The 16,169-nt window shown below is 43.3% G+C and overlaps 1 protein-coding gene across 1 annotated transcript in view; it reads left to right on the forward strand.

Annotated features, from left to right (window-relative positions):
• Positions 1-12,462: 12,462 nt before the first annotated feature.
• Positions 12,463-16,169, forward strand: part of GASK1A (golgi associated kinase 1A) — a 78,405-nt gene continuing 74,698 nt past the window's right edge. Inside the window, exon 1 of the mRNA NM_001129908.3 lies at positions 12,463-12,797. Within this exon, the coding sequence (NP_001123380.2) occupies positions 12,795-12,797 (3 nt within the window). The 5' untranslated portion in view covers positions 12,463-12,794. The remainder of the gene's footprint in view (positions 12,798-16,169) is intronic.

Consider the following 16,169-nt stretch of genomic DNA (forward strand, 5'->3'; position numbering starts at 1 on the left):
TATATATATGCTGGCCTATTTCTGGACTCTCTATTATCTTTTTTGGTCTCTTTATTCTGTGTCAATAGTACACTCGCTTTGTTTGTTTGTTTGAGACAGGGTCCCACTCTGTCACGCAGGCTGGAGTGCAGTGGTGTGTGATCTTGGCTCACTGCACCATCTGCCTCCCTGGCTCAAGCAATCCTCCTGCCTCAGCCCCTGGAATAGCTGGTATTACAGATCTGTGCCACCATGCTCAGCTAATTTATATGTGTTTTTTGTTGAGATGGGGTTTTGCCATGTTTTCTAGGCTGGCCTCAAACTCCTGCACTCAAGCGATCTGCCTGCCTTGGCCTCCCAAAGTGCTGGGATTACAGGTGTGGGCCACCACACTTGGCCCACACTCTCTTAATTACAGAAGCTTTATAAGTCTTGATATTATAGGTCCTCCAAATTTGCTATTCCTCAAGATTATCTTAGATATTCTAGGTCATTTTCATTTTGATGTAAAATTTTGGAATCATTTTGTTAATTTTGATGTAAACTTATTAGGATTGAATTTACAGATCAGTTTGACAGACAATTGATATCTTTTTAATACGGAGTCTTCCTATCCATACATTTGCTATATAATTTCTTTATTTAGACCTTCTTTAATTTGTCAGAAAGCTTTTTTAATTTTCAGTGTAGAGATCTTGAACATATTTCACTATTTCTGAATATTTGATGTTGTTAATATTATTGTAATGAACTTTTTACATTTTATTTTCAAATTTTTATTGCTAGTATATAGAAATACAATAGATTTTATATATTGACTTTGTATCCAGTGACCTTGATAACTTCATTTATTTTTTCTATTAGCTTATAGGTAATTTTGCATTTTTATGTAGAAAATAATATTTATATGAATAATGATATATTTATTTTTCCTTACTGACTTCTATATCTTTTATTTCTTGTTCTTACTTTTACATTGACTAAGCTCTTCAGTAAAACCTTGAGTAGAAGTGATACTGGATTCTTGTCTTAGCCCCAAACTCAAGAGAAAGAGTTCAGTATTTTACCAATAAGTGTAATGCTAGCTGTAGGTTCTTTACAGAAACTCTATAGCAGATTAAGCTGGTGCCCTCTTGTTTTTAGTCTGATGAGAATTTTTTCTTTTTTATTGTGAATGAGTTTTGAATTTTATCAAAATCTATTAAAAGGGTATTTTTCTCTTTTATTCTATTAATATGGTGAATTACATTGATGATACTTTTATTCTTGGAATAAACTCTGCTTGTTAATGATTATATTACAATATATATCATGTCTACATATATGTGTGTGTATACATATTGCTGGATTTATTTGTTCATATTTTGTTTTAAGACTTTTGTGTCTATGTTCCTGAGAGATAAGGACTTATAATTTTTCCTCCTTGTAATGTTATTGTTAGGTTTTGGTATCAGGGCCTCATCAAATGAATTGGGAAGTGTTCCTACTTTTCTTTAGTCCTCTGATAAGGTTTGTATTTTTTTTTTCTTAAATATTTGGGAGAATTAACCAGAGAAGCCACCTGGGACTAGAGTTTTCTTTGTGGGAAAGCTTTTAATTATGAATTCAATATCTTTAATTATATTCAAATTTTCTATTATTCTTTTGCTACTTTTGGTAAGTTGTGTTTTTCAAAGAATTTGTTCATTTCACCTAAACATCAAATTTATTGGCATGAAGTTGTTCATAATATCTTTTTATGTTTTTAATGTCTGTTGTAATCACTCTGCCAGGTGGGATGGCACCGTCTACCCACCCATGTATCCAAAATTGGATTGGGTATCAAAAGTGATGGTGCCACACATGTACAAAGAGGATATGAGGGAATTTTTACTTAAATATTCTTTCTGGGGAGGGCAGGGCAGGCACCCAAGCCAGTCTGAAAGTAGGTTAAGAGAACAAGGTGGCTTGAAGTTTAATTGTGGTTATGGGGTGAGGGTTCCCAGTGTGCCTGCAGGGGCTTACATGGTTTGAACTTGCTGCTAGCACCAACGGAGGAAGCCCACAGGCGTTCTAATAGGCTTGTCCAGGTGTGGGCAAGAGGGTAAGAGGGAAGGAGAGGTGGGAATCAAAAATGTTGGCTCTCAAACGTCAATAGTGGAGTTAGACTATTACAGTGTCTGTAAGATCTGTAGTGGTGAGGAGATAATAAATCTTTATATTCACGGAAATAATACTTACCTAGTTGCCTGCACTTGGAACACAAGATAAATAGGTATGAAAATGAGATACTAATAACTCTTTGGGCTTGGCAAGCGAATTAGTCTTTACATGTGATATATCTTTTCTGGTTATGCTGTGACTGTTTTGCAAGTGAGAACTAGCGTTAGAATTCCAGAAAAAATACAATTATTTATACTCTTCAGTTATAAATAAGTAATAAGCTTAAATAATATGTTTTATCTGAATTCTTTTTATTGCTTGAAAAGGTGGAGAGAGAAATTTTGTATTTTCTTTGATAAGAAGCTTATAAATGGTAAATGGCTTGCCCACAGTACAGCCTTCTGAAACAGTAATTTTAGACATAAGATTTTGAAACACAATGTCAGAAATGTATTTAAAACATTTAAATAATAATTTAATTATTTTAACATTAATTACACATGTATATAGTGGATTGGGGTGAAAAAATTTCATGCTAGCTGTGAGATAATGGTCATGTGCCTTGGGATCTGAATTTTCTCTTGTTTGTCATCAGGAAAAAAGTTTAAGAGCAACTGCATAAGGGATGCAATTTTTTTTTTTTTTTTGACGGAGTCTTTTACGCTGTCTCTTGGGCTGGAGTGCAATGGTGCAATCTCGGCTCATTACAACTTCTGCTCCACCTCCCAGGTTCAAGTGATTCTCCTGCCTCAGCCTCCCGAGTAGCTGGGATTACAGGCGCCCGCCACCAAGCTCGGCTAATTTTTGTATTTTTAGTAGAGACAGGGTTTCACCATATTGGTCAGGCTGGTCTTGAACTCCTGACATTGTGATCCGCCCACCTTCGCAACTCTTAATCAAACAAGGTCCCAATCTTCCAGGAACAAAAAAGTGCCCAGGAGGCAGTAAAGAATAGTGGGATTAGCAGGCCCTAATTCATCCCCCTATAATTTGCTGTCTTTTCCTTAGAGTTCTCCAGTTTGCTCCTCCTTGCCAGTGTGTCTGATCTTTGGTTGACTCAGATATAATTCCTCTCTAGCCAAGGGAAGGACAAAAATCAATTTTCCTCTTTCCCCAAGTCCATAAGTGATGGAGTCTGTATTTTTAGCCTCAGTTTATCCATCTATAAAAGGGAGAATATAATAAAACGGAAAATGTAATAGCTACTTCATGGGGCTGTTATAAATATTTAAAAAAATTAAATGTACATGAAAATACCTTGCACTATACTTGGTACATTGTGGATGCTCAGTAAATGTGGTACATTGTGGATGCTCAGTAAATGTATCAGTTGCTAGTTGAATCCATCTGTTCTGAAAGTGGATATGACTGATATATCCAGTGGGCTTCCTTTAATCTAGGGTGACCAACTGTCCTGGTTTGCTCAGTACTGTTCCAGTTTAGCATTGAAAGTTCCACGTCCCAGGAACCCCTGCTTGGGACATGAAAAGTTCCAGTTTTTGGTGCTGGTTGGGGAAGACTGGGGGAAAAGTACATAAACCACATTGCTGCCCAAAAAATAGGGGCTGAAAGCAATACTAGTTTTAGTGTCAAATGGATAAGGTATAGATTATCTGCCTTTTGTAGTTGCTCTTGCTTATTTTTCCCTTGACCACTGATGTTGACAACCATGATTTGTGGTTCACAATAATGGAATATTCATTATAGCTTCACTCCAAGTGATGTGATTTAAGGGTCCATCTTAAGTGTGTTGTAATTGTGAGTGTTAACAGTCTGTTTTTTATTTTGACTGTGGATCAGCTGTTGAACTTTGTATTGAGATAGTGCTGGATTAATTTTTAACATTGTGAATATTATGACTATGTTTTCTAAGAGTTCAGATATTGAAAATAAGAACTATTATTATACTATTGCCAGCATGACCCAGATATCACTGCAAAGAAAAGACTAAATAACTTATTTTAATGATAGATGGAAAGACACATCCAGCCAGATCAGGGAGGTGAATAACGGAAACAAAGTATACTGCACCCTATTATGAAAAGAATTTGGGATTGGGCATGGTGGAGAAGGAGATACAAAAATGCAGATGAGACTGAATCTCACAAGTCTAGGATAAGAAATTCAAATACTTCTTAATCAATCAAAAGTATCTTATCCCTTCTCTTGCCCAAAAGACATCAATGCTCAGTGGAACACAGAGGCCACAGAATTAGCTTGGGCTTACCACATGAATGAACAAACATGCATTATTTTATTGTTCCTTTGATTGCTCCATGAAACTGAGTAAGGTTTTATTTCCTGATTATAGAAGTTGCAACTAAAAAGTCCTGTGGGCAAAAGAGGGGGAAACTGCTGTGTTAGCCCCCTGGCGTGTAGAGCTGATTCTGTCAGATCTTACCACTGATCATACTTTCTACCGTACATTAAGTGATGTGTCAAATCATAGCAACAAAAAATATTGTCCCTAGCTGTTAGGTACTTTGATTTGAAAAAGGAGGTTTCAAATCATTTTCTTGATTTCTATTAAGAGCTTAATAAAACTACAGAAAACACAAAAGATAATTGGTATTGTGTTCAAATACAAACTGGACTTTACTCAGCAATCTGCCTATTCAGCAGACAGTGCAAATATAAATTTTGGCAAATTCCATTCAGTCTATAAATTTCTTACCAAAAAAAGAAAAAAAATGAAAACACCTTACCTACTAAATAACCTGCATATCTTATATACAATACTGCTAAAAAGGCATATAATTTGCTTACCTGACATTGAGCCTTTTATAATGAAAATTTTGGGCCTCTTAAAAATTCCTCAGAACCTGCAGAAGCACTTAATAAGATTTTTGACTCTATAAAAGTAGAAAACACCTCTTTAGACGTGGCTGTCATTGTTGTCAGCCATAGAAAAGATATTAAAATGTTGGCCTGCCATAAAATCATATTTTCCAAGTGTGGGACAAAAGGATGTCTGTTTTAGTAGGCTTGGGCTGCCTTAACAAAATGCCATAGACTGGATGGCTTAAAAAGAGAAGACTGGAAAGCAAAAGAGAAGCGGATAAGCTATAAGCCTGCCTTTCTTCATGGTCCAGGACATGTAGCCCTCTTGTGCCCAAGGATCACCAGACACCTGCAAGTTAGCTCACTGCAACCTTGGTGTTAATCAGTACTGCACAAAGCCCTCTTCAGCATAAACACTATTCTATAAAATCTCCAGCAAGCCCTTTTTCTTTGCAGTCATCTCTTCTCATGTTGATTTGCTCATTGCTTTCTTGGAATGTATTTTTATACTTTGTCTAACAAATCTGCCTTTCTTTATTTACAACTGTCTTGGTGAATTCTTTTCCCCCTCCATGCCACGGGCCCAGCTAGTCATTGCCCACCCATGACACAAGAGAAATTTATTTTCTCATGGTTTTGGAGACTGGAAGTCCAAAATCAAGGTGACAGCAGGGTTAGTGTCTTGGTGAGGGCTCCCCGGGGTTGCAGTCCATAACAATGTTCTTCTTCAATTTGGAAATATATTGAGGTTGAGAATGGAGAAAAGATTATAGTTAACACATTTCTATGCTGTTTCTCCAAAACTGTTTGATGCTCTTTGAAGAGGCCAACAAGGAGCCTGACAAAGGATGAACTGACTACACCTGAGTCGTTCGATGGTTATGCATAGGTTGTTTCAAAAACTTATGCAGCAAAAAATGACTTGAGTTTTAGCAGATGATTTCAGAATTTCAAAAACTGTCACCAGGAAAGGGCAGCCAAGATAAACAGGATTTTTTTTCAATTTCTTTATTAAAGACTGTAACTTATTTAGAATACAACTTTAATTTCAAAAGATCAAATTACCTTTGTGCTTGTTCTTCACATGATGCATCATCAGAATGCAAAGCCAAGCAATACTGCACAAGCACACACAATGCTTCTGTTTGCTCACGTCTTATTGGTCAGAGTTAGTCCATGGCCAATCCCAACAACAGTGCAGTAAAGATATATGTTCTGCTCACAGCAGGGGGAAGGGGAGTAAAAAGGTTTGGCTGTGTCCCCACCCAAATCTCATCTTCAATTCCCACATGTTGTGGGAGGGACCCTGTGGAAGATAATTGAATCATGAAGGCAGGTCGTTCCCATGCTGTCCTCCTGATAGTGAATAGTCTCACGAGATCTGATGGTTTTATCAGGGGGTTCCACTTTTGCATCCTTCTCATTTTCTCCTGCCGACATCATGTAAGAAGTGCCTTTCGCCTCCCACCATAATTCTGAGGCCTTCCCAGGCATGTGGAACTGTAAGTCCAATTAAACCTCTTTTTCTTCCCAGTCTTGGGTATGTCTTTATCAACAGCGTGAAAATGGACTAATACATTAAATTGGTACCAGTAGTGTGGGGTGCTGCTGAAAAGATACCTGAAAATGTGGAAGTGGCTTTGGACCTGGGTAACAGGAAGAGGTTGGAACAGTTTAGAGGGCTCAGAAGAAGATAGGAAAATGTGGGAAAGTTTGGAACTTCCTAGAGATTTGTTGAATGGCTTTGCCCAAAATGCTGATAGAGATATGAACAATAAGGTCCAGGCTGAGGTGGTCTCAGATGGAGATGAGGAACTTCTTGGGAACTGGAGCAAAGGTAACTTTTGTTATGTTTTAGCAAAGAGACTGGCAGCATTTTGCCCCTGCCCTAGAGATATGTGGAACTTTGAACTTGAGAGAGATGATTTAGGGTATCTGGCAGAAGAAATTTCTAAGCAGCAAAGCATTCAAGAGGTGACTTGGGTGCTATTAAAGGCAGTTTCATAAGGGATGCAGAGCATAAAAGTTTGGAAAATTTGCAGCCTGATAATGGGAGAGAAAAGAAAATCCCATTTTCTGAGGAAAAGTCAAGCCAGCTGCAGAAATTTGCACAAGCAATGAGGAGCTGAATGTTAATCCCCAAGACAATGAAGAAAATGTCACCAGGGCATGTCAGAGGTCTTCACAGCAACCCCTCCCATCACAGGCCCAGAGGCTTAGGAGGAAAAAGTGGTTTTGTGGGCTGGGCTCAGGGTTCCCATACTGTGTGCAGCCTAGGGACTCGGTGCACTGCATCCCAGCTGTTCCAGCCATGGCTGAAAGGGTCCAATATAGAGCTTGGGCTGTGGCATCAGTGGGTGCAAGCCCCAAGCCTTGGCAGCTTCTACGTGGTGTTGAGCCTGCAAGTACACAGAAGTCACAAATTGGTGTTCAGGAACCTCCTCCTAGATTTCAGAGGATGTATGGAAATGCCTGGATGTCCAGGCAGAAGTTTGCTGCAGGAGTGGGGCCCTCTTTGAGAATCTCTGCCAGGGCAGTGTGGAAGGGAAATGTGGGGTGTGAACCCCCACCCAGAACCCCTACTAGGGCACTGCCTAATGGAGCTGTGAGAAGAGGGCCACAATCCTCCAGATCCCAGAATGGTAGATTCACCAATAGCTTGCATTGTGAACCTGGAAAAGCTGCAGACCACCCAATGCCAGCCTGTGAAAGTGGCCAGGAGGTGGGCTATACCCTGCAAAGCCACAGGGATGGAGCTGCCCAAGGCCACGGGAGCCCACCTCTTGCGTCAACATGACCTGGATGTGAGACATGGAGTCAAGGAGATAATTTTGGAACTTTAAGATTTGACTTCCTTGCTGGATTTCAGATTTACATGGGGCCTGTAGCCCCTTTGTTTTGGCCAATTTCTCCCATTTGGAATGGCTGTATTTACCCAATTCCTGTACCCCCATTGTATCTAGGAAATAACTAACTTGCTTTTGATTTTACAGGCTCATAGGCAGAAGGGACTTGTTTTGTCTCAGATGAGACATTGGACTGTGGACTTTTGAGTTAATGCTGAAATGAGTTAACACTTTGGGGGGACTGTTGAAAAGGCATGATTGGTTTTGAAATGTAAGGACATGACATTTGGGAGGGGCCAGGGCAGAATAATATGGTTTGGCTGTGTCCCCACCCAAATCTCATCTTGAATTCCCACATGTTGTGGGAGGGACCCTATGGGAGGTAATTGAATCATGGGAACAGATATTTCCCATGCTGTTTTCATGATAGTGAATAAGTCTCATGAGATCTGATGGCTTTGTAAGGCGGAGTTTCCCTGCACAAGCTCTCTCTCTCTTTGCCTGCTGCCATCCATGTAAGACGTGACTTGCTCTTCCTTGCCTTCTGCCACGATTGTGAGGCCATGTGGAATTCTAGGTCCATTAAACCTCTTTCTTTGGTAAATTGCCCAGTCTTGGGTATGTCTTTATCAACAGCATGAAAACAGACTAATATAGGGAGTAAATATTTGCTGAACAATAATGTAAGTTACCTCAGCCCCCTTCAAATGCTTCTGTGGGCCCCACCAATGACTTCCATTTGCTTCTTATTGGCTGTTCGTTTTTGCAAGGGAGGTTGTGAAATATATAATTTTTTGGCCAAGTATACTGCTTCCCCTTGAAATATACGAGTTAAGTGAATGAAAAAAAAGAATGTAAACTGGATGCTAACATTCTCTGCTGCAAAAGAAGTTTTTTTCTCATTCGTCATTCTTGGATTCAATAAATGTTTTTGAAAGTTTACCATGAGAAAAGTCCTGACTTGGATGTTGTAACTTATATGAGCACATTACATGGTTGCAGGAATCCAGGGAGTTAGGCTGGGCTGGGATGATGGTTCTTATCTGTCAGATGAGGAACCTGAACCAGTGGAGAGGAAGTGGCTTTGCTGAGGACCCATGCTTTGTGAGTGGTAGATTCAGTTTTGAACCTCAGTCTTCTCTGTCTCATTCCTTTATTCAGAAGCATTTATCAAGTAGCTACTTGGTACCAGGAAGATGGAGACAGAAGGCCCAGAATCGTCTTTTCTTCTAGGAAGTGAGAGTCACAGGAGATAATATTTGCAACAGAGAAACTTCAGGGGACATGCTGTGCTGGACCTTCAGGATGGGGAGGACTGGTGCAGGGAGGTATGTCAGGTTGGAAATAGGAATGTGTCAAGAAAAGGCTTTGAGATGGAGGAAACTGCCCTGAAGGAGGTTTATGAGTGTGTAAAAGGCTTGAAGAAGTAATCGGAGGTCAAACCTTGAAGGAGTCTGAAAGCTATGCTGCTGAGGAATTTGCACTTAATCCTGAGAGTTATGTGGAACAGGTCAGTGGCAGGCCCATGTTTACGTTTTGGCAGTAATGTGCAGGATGGATTGGAAAGAGCAAAAGTAGAGCCTGAGATGCTAGTTGAGTTTCTGAGAGTACTGTAAGTGATGACAAAAGTTTGAGCCAAAGAACTGGCCGTGAGGAGGAGAAAGATTCCAGAATCATTTAGAAAGGCCATTTGGATATGGGAGCCAAGGAAGAGGAATTGCGTCGTTCAGCAGTTCTCAGCCCTGGCTATGCTTAAAAAATATAAAGACACTCAAGCCTTGGAAATTTTGATTCAGTAAGTCTGGAATGGAGCTAGACATGGAATCTTATTAGAGAGTGGGCCTGTTGGGCCGCTGCCTGGGGTACCAGTTTATAAGAAACCCTAAAACGTCCTTAGAGCAAGTTGGAAATCTGCTAACTGGTGAAAGATAGACTCACTCCTAATGAACCTGGAGCACCCTGTCATGAAAATAATAAAATATTCCTCTCTAGCACCAACCTGTCCCAGTGGAGTGAGTTGAGTATTTCCTACTTGCAAGGTCTGCAGTGTAACCAGAGGCTCTGCCAACAACCTGGGAGCAGCCAACCACCAGTCAACAAAAATTTGGAAAGTAACAAAACATGAAGTGTTGTTTCCTAGAAGGGAGGGATTTACTGGTTATCTAAATTTAAAACCCTTTAATATAGCTTCCAAGAAGTTGCGGCCAGGCGCGGTGGCTCACGCCTGTAATCCCAGCACTTTGGGAGGCCGAGGCAGGTGGATCATGAGGTCAGGAGATCGAGACCATCCTGGCTAACAAGGTGAAACCCCGTCTCTACTAAAAATACAAAAAATTAGCCGGGCGCGGTGGCGGGCGCCTGTAGTCCCAGCTACTCGGGAGGCTGAGGCAGGAGAATGGCGTGAACCCGGGAAGCGGAGCTTGCAGTGAGCCGAGATTGCGCCACTGCAGTCCGCAGTCCGGCCTGGGCGACAGAGCGAGACTCCGTCTCAAAAAAAAAAAAAAAAAAAAAAAAGAATTACAAGGTGGAACTGAAGAGGAATGGAGTGTGCAATCTTAAATAGAGTGGTCAGAGAAGGCTTCACTAAAGAGGTGACACTTGGGCAAAGACCTGAAGGAGATGAGGGAGCAAACCATGGGGATATCTGGGGCATTCTAGGGAGAGGGATAACAAGTGCAAAGGTCCTGAGGTGGGATCTTGCCTGTAATATGCAAGGGACAATAAGAAGGTGAGTGTGTCCTGGAGCACAGTGAGAGAGAGTGTGCAGAGATAATGTTAGAGAACCAATGAGGGCCAAAGTGTGAAAGGACTTGTAGGCCCCTGTAAGATGTGGCATGTTACACTGCAGGAGATTTGAAGCCTCTGGTAGGTTTTGAGCAGAGAAATGACAAAAATCTGATTTATGACTCTTTTCAAGTAATTCTTCTTAAAAGTAATTTTATTCATGTTATTAGGATGGACCAGGATATGCTATAACAACAAACAATTCTTTACAGCTTAGCCATGTTCTTGTGTGACATTTTATTTGGCTGGGCTAGATCCTGCAGCAGCTTTTCCCAAGTGTGTTCCATGAGTCATTGGAGCTGCTTCTTTTGAAAAACAGTTCTGCTTCCAGTAATCCTGGAAATACTGGGCACTCTCTTCCTGTCTAAGTTAGTGATTTGAGACCATCATTAAAAATACATAAAATTGGAATAGAATAGAAAATGTCAGAGTGCATCACATGAAGTAATGTTTTATAAAACAATCTTTTAGTTACATTTATACATATATGTTTAATATATATCTTGTGTGGGGTCACAGTCAGAAAATGAGACTCAAAAGATCACAGCGTCTCCCTAAACATCTAAATAAAACCCTGAATGGTTTGTACTGTCCTCCACCCTCTTCCCTCATTTCCCAACCAGGGCTCAAACTCTCTGTCCTTTCAGTAGTCCATATGCACAGACAAGCTGCAGTTTGCAGTGCTACATCCTGCCTCCTGTTCCTGCCATATCAAGTCTTCCTCTTTGTTTCATGTTCTGGCAAATAGACTTGGATTTGCTAAACTGTTTACTGGCGATCTGGTCTCAGGAAAGTTACTTCACCTCCCTAATCCTGACTTTCCTAATTTGCAAAAGTTTTCCTTTTAGGATCGTTTGTGGTTATTAAATGAAATAATGTACAGAAAGCATCTGGAATGTTAAGGACCGAATACTTTCCCTTCATCTGTTCCTCCTGCCCATACACACATACACAATTTAAGGGGACTCTCTGGATCTTTGCTTCCCTTTAGAAGCACTGCCATCAGTGATAACCTCAGATCATTCTGGGGCAGGAGACTGCTGGGAAGATGCCTGTCTTCATCTAGCTAATGATGCTTCCTGTTAGTTTCAGTACTGGAGGCTAATTTTTCAGCCTGGCCCCCAAATTCTCTCAGAGCACCCTACTGCTGACTCTGCCTCGCCTCCATCCATTGTCTACAGGCTCTTAATAATCCTGGGGTCCAAACATTGGGCCACTGGGGGACACAAGTCATAAAGACGTCTGGGGACTGGTCGATGGTCATCCAGCTGTTAATAGTGGGGCTAGCCCTGATTTTGGGACTACAGAACCCCTAAGCCCAGGACATTCCCCAACGGGGAACGGATAGACTCTCAGGTCTTGCTCTGACTGTGCCTTTGTTGGCAGTAGGTGACTCAGGGGACACAAAGGCACTGTCTGTGCATCCAAAGCAGAGAGGTATCAGCCACTTACTTCAGTGACTTTAACAGTGATTAGTTCTCAAGGACAAAAACTCTTCATTGTTAATTAGCTTAGTGGTCAACGGATTTTCCTTCCAAATCCTCTTGGGGACTGAACCCAAACAAGGCGAAGAAGTGACAGTAAAAAAAGACTTGTCCTTCTGACAAGCGACAGTAAAGAAAAAGACTTGTCCTGCTTGGCAGGAGAGGGTGGCAGTTTGGGCAACACTCAGCCATATTGCTGAGTTGCAGCGAACTCACCAAGCACCCTCACACCTTAGAGGCGTCCCTCACCGTCCAGCCTTGGTGCATCACCCGTCAGGCGGGCAGTCAGGGCGTAGACCTTTCCTTCCTAGCACCTGGGCCCCTACTCCAGAAGACCAGAAGACTGCGGCTGGCCGAGCCCCCGGCAGGGCTTTTATTGTGAAGGGAGCTTCCCCCTCCCGCGCTTTCAGGGGAATGGGGAAGCTGGGCCGGGACGCGCGGCAGGGACTTTGCAAACTCTGCAAAAGTCCCGAGTAGACCGCAGAGGCTCGCGGCCGCGGGTAGGCTCCCTCAGATCCCCGTAGATCTCAGTAGATCCGGCGTGTATTCCCCACCCGCGGAGTATCCCGGTGTGCAGCGATCTCCCGAGAGTTGGCGCAGGGCCACTTGGCTGCAGAGAACGTGTGCACCTTCAGTCCGGGAAACCCGCCCCAGCCGAGTAGCCGCGCATCCTGGGAAGCCTGGCGAGCCACGGCGCCGGGGGCGGCCAAGGGGAGGCGGGATGAGTCTGCGAGCCGGCTGAGCGCGCCGAGGAGCCGGCCGGGGCACCGCCGGGGACATGGTAGGACTCGCGGGAAGGAACGCGCGAGCGGAGGGTGGGGCGATCACCAGGACAGGTGGCTGCAGTCAACGCGCAGCGGCCCAGGGCGCGCGCAGCCTGCGCGGCCTCCCGAGGCCGGAGTTGTTCCCCGAAAGTTGCATGGGGCGGCGGCGGCTTTCATTTCTGCACCAGAGCTGGGGGCGATCGGCTTTCCTGCCGCTCTTAGTGGGGCGGACCGTAATAAGGGGGCTTTTATTACTAATCTGCACTCCTTGACCTAACCGTAACCCACTCGCAACTCTGCAATCTTCATGCAATCCACAAGGCAGGGAGAGGGGAGCGTTCCCTGGGGAACCCACGGCAGCCTCTGATGAGATGCTTTTGAAGTCATTTTAATACTCTCCAAAGTTCATGTGAATTTTATACTATCTTCTCTAATTTAGCTATGTATTGATATTAAAAATAATGTCCTAACGTTTATTAACATTTAATAACTAAATTAACATTGAGTTAAATTGGCTCTAGTAAGGTTCCAATCCGCCTTCCTCTACCTCCCCGACAGGAGGACTGTTGGGCAGATGTGGAAGCACTGGTGGGTCTGGGATGTCACGATGAAACCAGGATCTTGTGGACGTGGCCCTTCCATTGATCAACTTCACAGACACTAACAGGCAGAAAAGAAAAACCCATCGAGAATGTGGCCCAGGCGGCTTAGCTAAAGGACACATGCAACCCCAGGAAAGGGGCGTCCCTCAGGCCCGGCCGCTGGTTAGTTGCTCTGCTTCTCCCGCAGCAGAAAACCCCTGCAACCCCAACTGGGCTCCTGCAGTTCACTGGGCTCCCCTGGCTGCTTCCGTGCCTGCTCGCCTCTTCCCTTTCCTTCCAAGCTCACAGAAGGCAGATCGGAACCCACTGGAGATGCTTTGTGGGGAGTTTTGCTGGGCCTGGGGTTTAGAAGGCTGTCTAGAGACTGCGCTGTAGGATGGAGGGTCTCTGTGAGAACAGCTCCTTTGTGTGCAGGGGGGCCTGGCAGGTGGCTGGAACAGAGGTGGAGGGCTGGTCATAAGGAGCTGGGGGCTCAGGGAAGGGTACCTTTGAGGCTAGGGGTGTGTGTATGTTTCACCCCTCCTAACACCTATCCAGCTTCAGGTTTTTTCTCAAAGCTGCTAAGAGAAGGAAATAGTGGAATCTTAAGCTTCAAAAGGGGGAATGATTGGGGGTACAGGATGTGAAACGAAAAGTGTGGAGATATCCTATTACAAATTCCCTGTTTAGGAGCAAGAGTGTTACCAGAACTCAGGCCACAGCCATCCACTCCGAGGGGCATTAGCATGCTGGAGTCTCCTGGCTTTAAAGGCAAATGTAGCAGAGGCTCTGTGGTCTGCGGCTGAAGCAGAGTGCCTGGAGGAGAGATGGTACCTGCCTTCTGCTCAGGCTGCCTAGGGGAACATTGGTGTGTTTGCCCCACTGCCAGCGTAAGCTTCCCGTTCTGTGAGTCATTGCAGCTTCCCGGTTTCACGTCCCTGGCTCTGGGTTCTGGTATTGTGTTAGGAAGAGGACTTGTGTCAACATTTCACTGTCTCAGGGTTCACTTGCAGAGAGAGGGGCCTGATGGTCATCCTCTGGCAGTGAAATGGCCTTGGAGATCTGAAGGCTGTCCTTTGCTTCTCCATCTGAATGAAGGGTCTTGAGGTCCAGAGACCACAGGGCAGCCTGGCACTGGCTAGAAGCAGCATGGGAGGAGACAGGGGGCTAGGAATCCTTTGAGGACCTTAGTTTCCTCTTCTGTTAGATGAGAGATTGGACTAGATGTTATTCAAGGTGCCATTTAGCTCCAAAAATGGGTGATATGTGAATAATTTTGAGATTGGATCTCAATTCTAGTGTTGAGCTGTGCTTAGCATGAACAACTAAAAAGGTGTGGGGAAGAAGTGGTTCTCAGCCCTGACTCAGGCTGCCCCCATCCCCCAGCCCAAATCCAGATGAGACCCAGACCAAGGGATGTTTTCAGGCTCTGCAAGTGAGCCCAGTGTGCTGCCAGGGCTGAGAACCACAGGGCAAGAAGGCTGAGAGAACGGGAGAAAGCTGGGGCTCAAAGCTGCACTTCCCAAGATATCCCTATGTCCACAGAGTGGTCATTCCTTGAGATAGTCCTAAAATAGTTTTTGGGAAATGATAGATGCTATATCATTTCCCATTATATGATATCACATATATCACATGCTATATCTCTTTGAGGGTCCTTCCACAGAGTATTGTCTTTTAATTCATTACACTGAGATTTGAACTTGCCCAGCTTGTTTGAATACGGTATCCTTTATTCAGTATTTCCCTAATGCCATCCTATTATTGATCCAAGATACGTATGATGGGAAACTCTGGGTTAGAAGTATACAAATAAAAGTATAGAATCCTTAAATGTCCTTTTGAAAAAAAGAAAAAAGAAAAGAGCATTGAGCTGCAGTATCTGCGGGGGCATTTTTGATTATCCTGAGGAGTCAGGGGTCATTGCCATGGCTTGGTGTGTATTTTTCTAAAGCGAAGATTGGAACACTTGTCAGTTTCTTTCTTTGCAGTGGTGGTGGGAGGTTTGGTGTTTGCCAAGGACTCTGTACTTGATGAAAAATATTGATAGAATCAGATATATATGTGTTGGGTTAAAAATTAAAAAAGAAAAATATTGATAGAGAAAGTTGAAACTATTACTGCCAATTAAAAAATGTTTTCCTCCTGATTTTTGAGAAAAAATACACAACTTCTACAGGAACCATGATTATCATTTTGGCATATTTCCTATTCTCTTTGAGTATTATTTTAAAGAGCTGAGATTTCACCACACATGGAATTTTGCAGTCTGATTTGTTTTACTTCAGTTTATATCAAAGCACGTTTCCATGTCTACATCTCTAGAAAAATCTTTTATAACCATACATTTAATGCTCAGTACCGTGATTTTGATAATCATCTCCCCATTTTTGGACATTTAGGTCACTTCAGGATTGGGGCTGATTTCAGTGGCATGTGGCCAGCTTCTCATTATCCATGGAAATGAGGACCTGAGTGCCCAGCTAAGTGGAAATCAGAAAAATTCACAAGAATGAATTGCTCCGGCCTCTTTCTCTATCCAAGCTCTTACTGTAACTACCCTCCCAGGGCCCAGCGTGCTGTGGGAGGAGTTTCCTCTTGCCTGTCTTCACTCTGTGCTGTGGGCAGGTCATCAGGCAGGCAGCAGTGGGGGCAATGGAGTCCCAGGGGAGCCCACATGGGCCAGTCCTCCTTGGGAGAACCAAGAGCTAAAATCCCTGGAGGTTAAGACTCAGAGGACAAGTAGCTGAAGCTGGAAAAGGGATGTGGCCTCTTTAGGGTCACTTAGAGCCAGGCTAGGGCCCGGGT

Source organism: Homo sapiens, chromosome 3, assembly GCF_000001405.40.
Source record: "Homo sapiens chromosome 3, GRCh38.p14 Primary Assembly".
Classification (NCBI taxonomy): domain Eukaryota; kingdom Metazoa; phylum Chordata; class Mammalia; order Primates; family Hominidae; genus Homo; species Homo sapiens.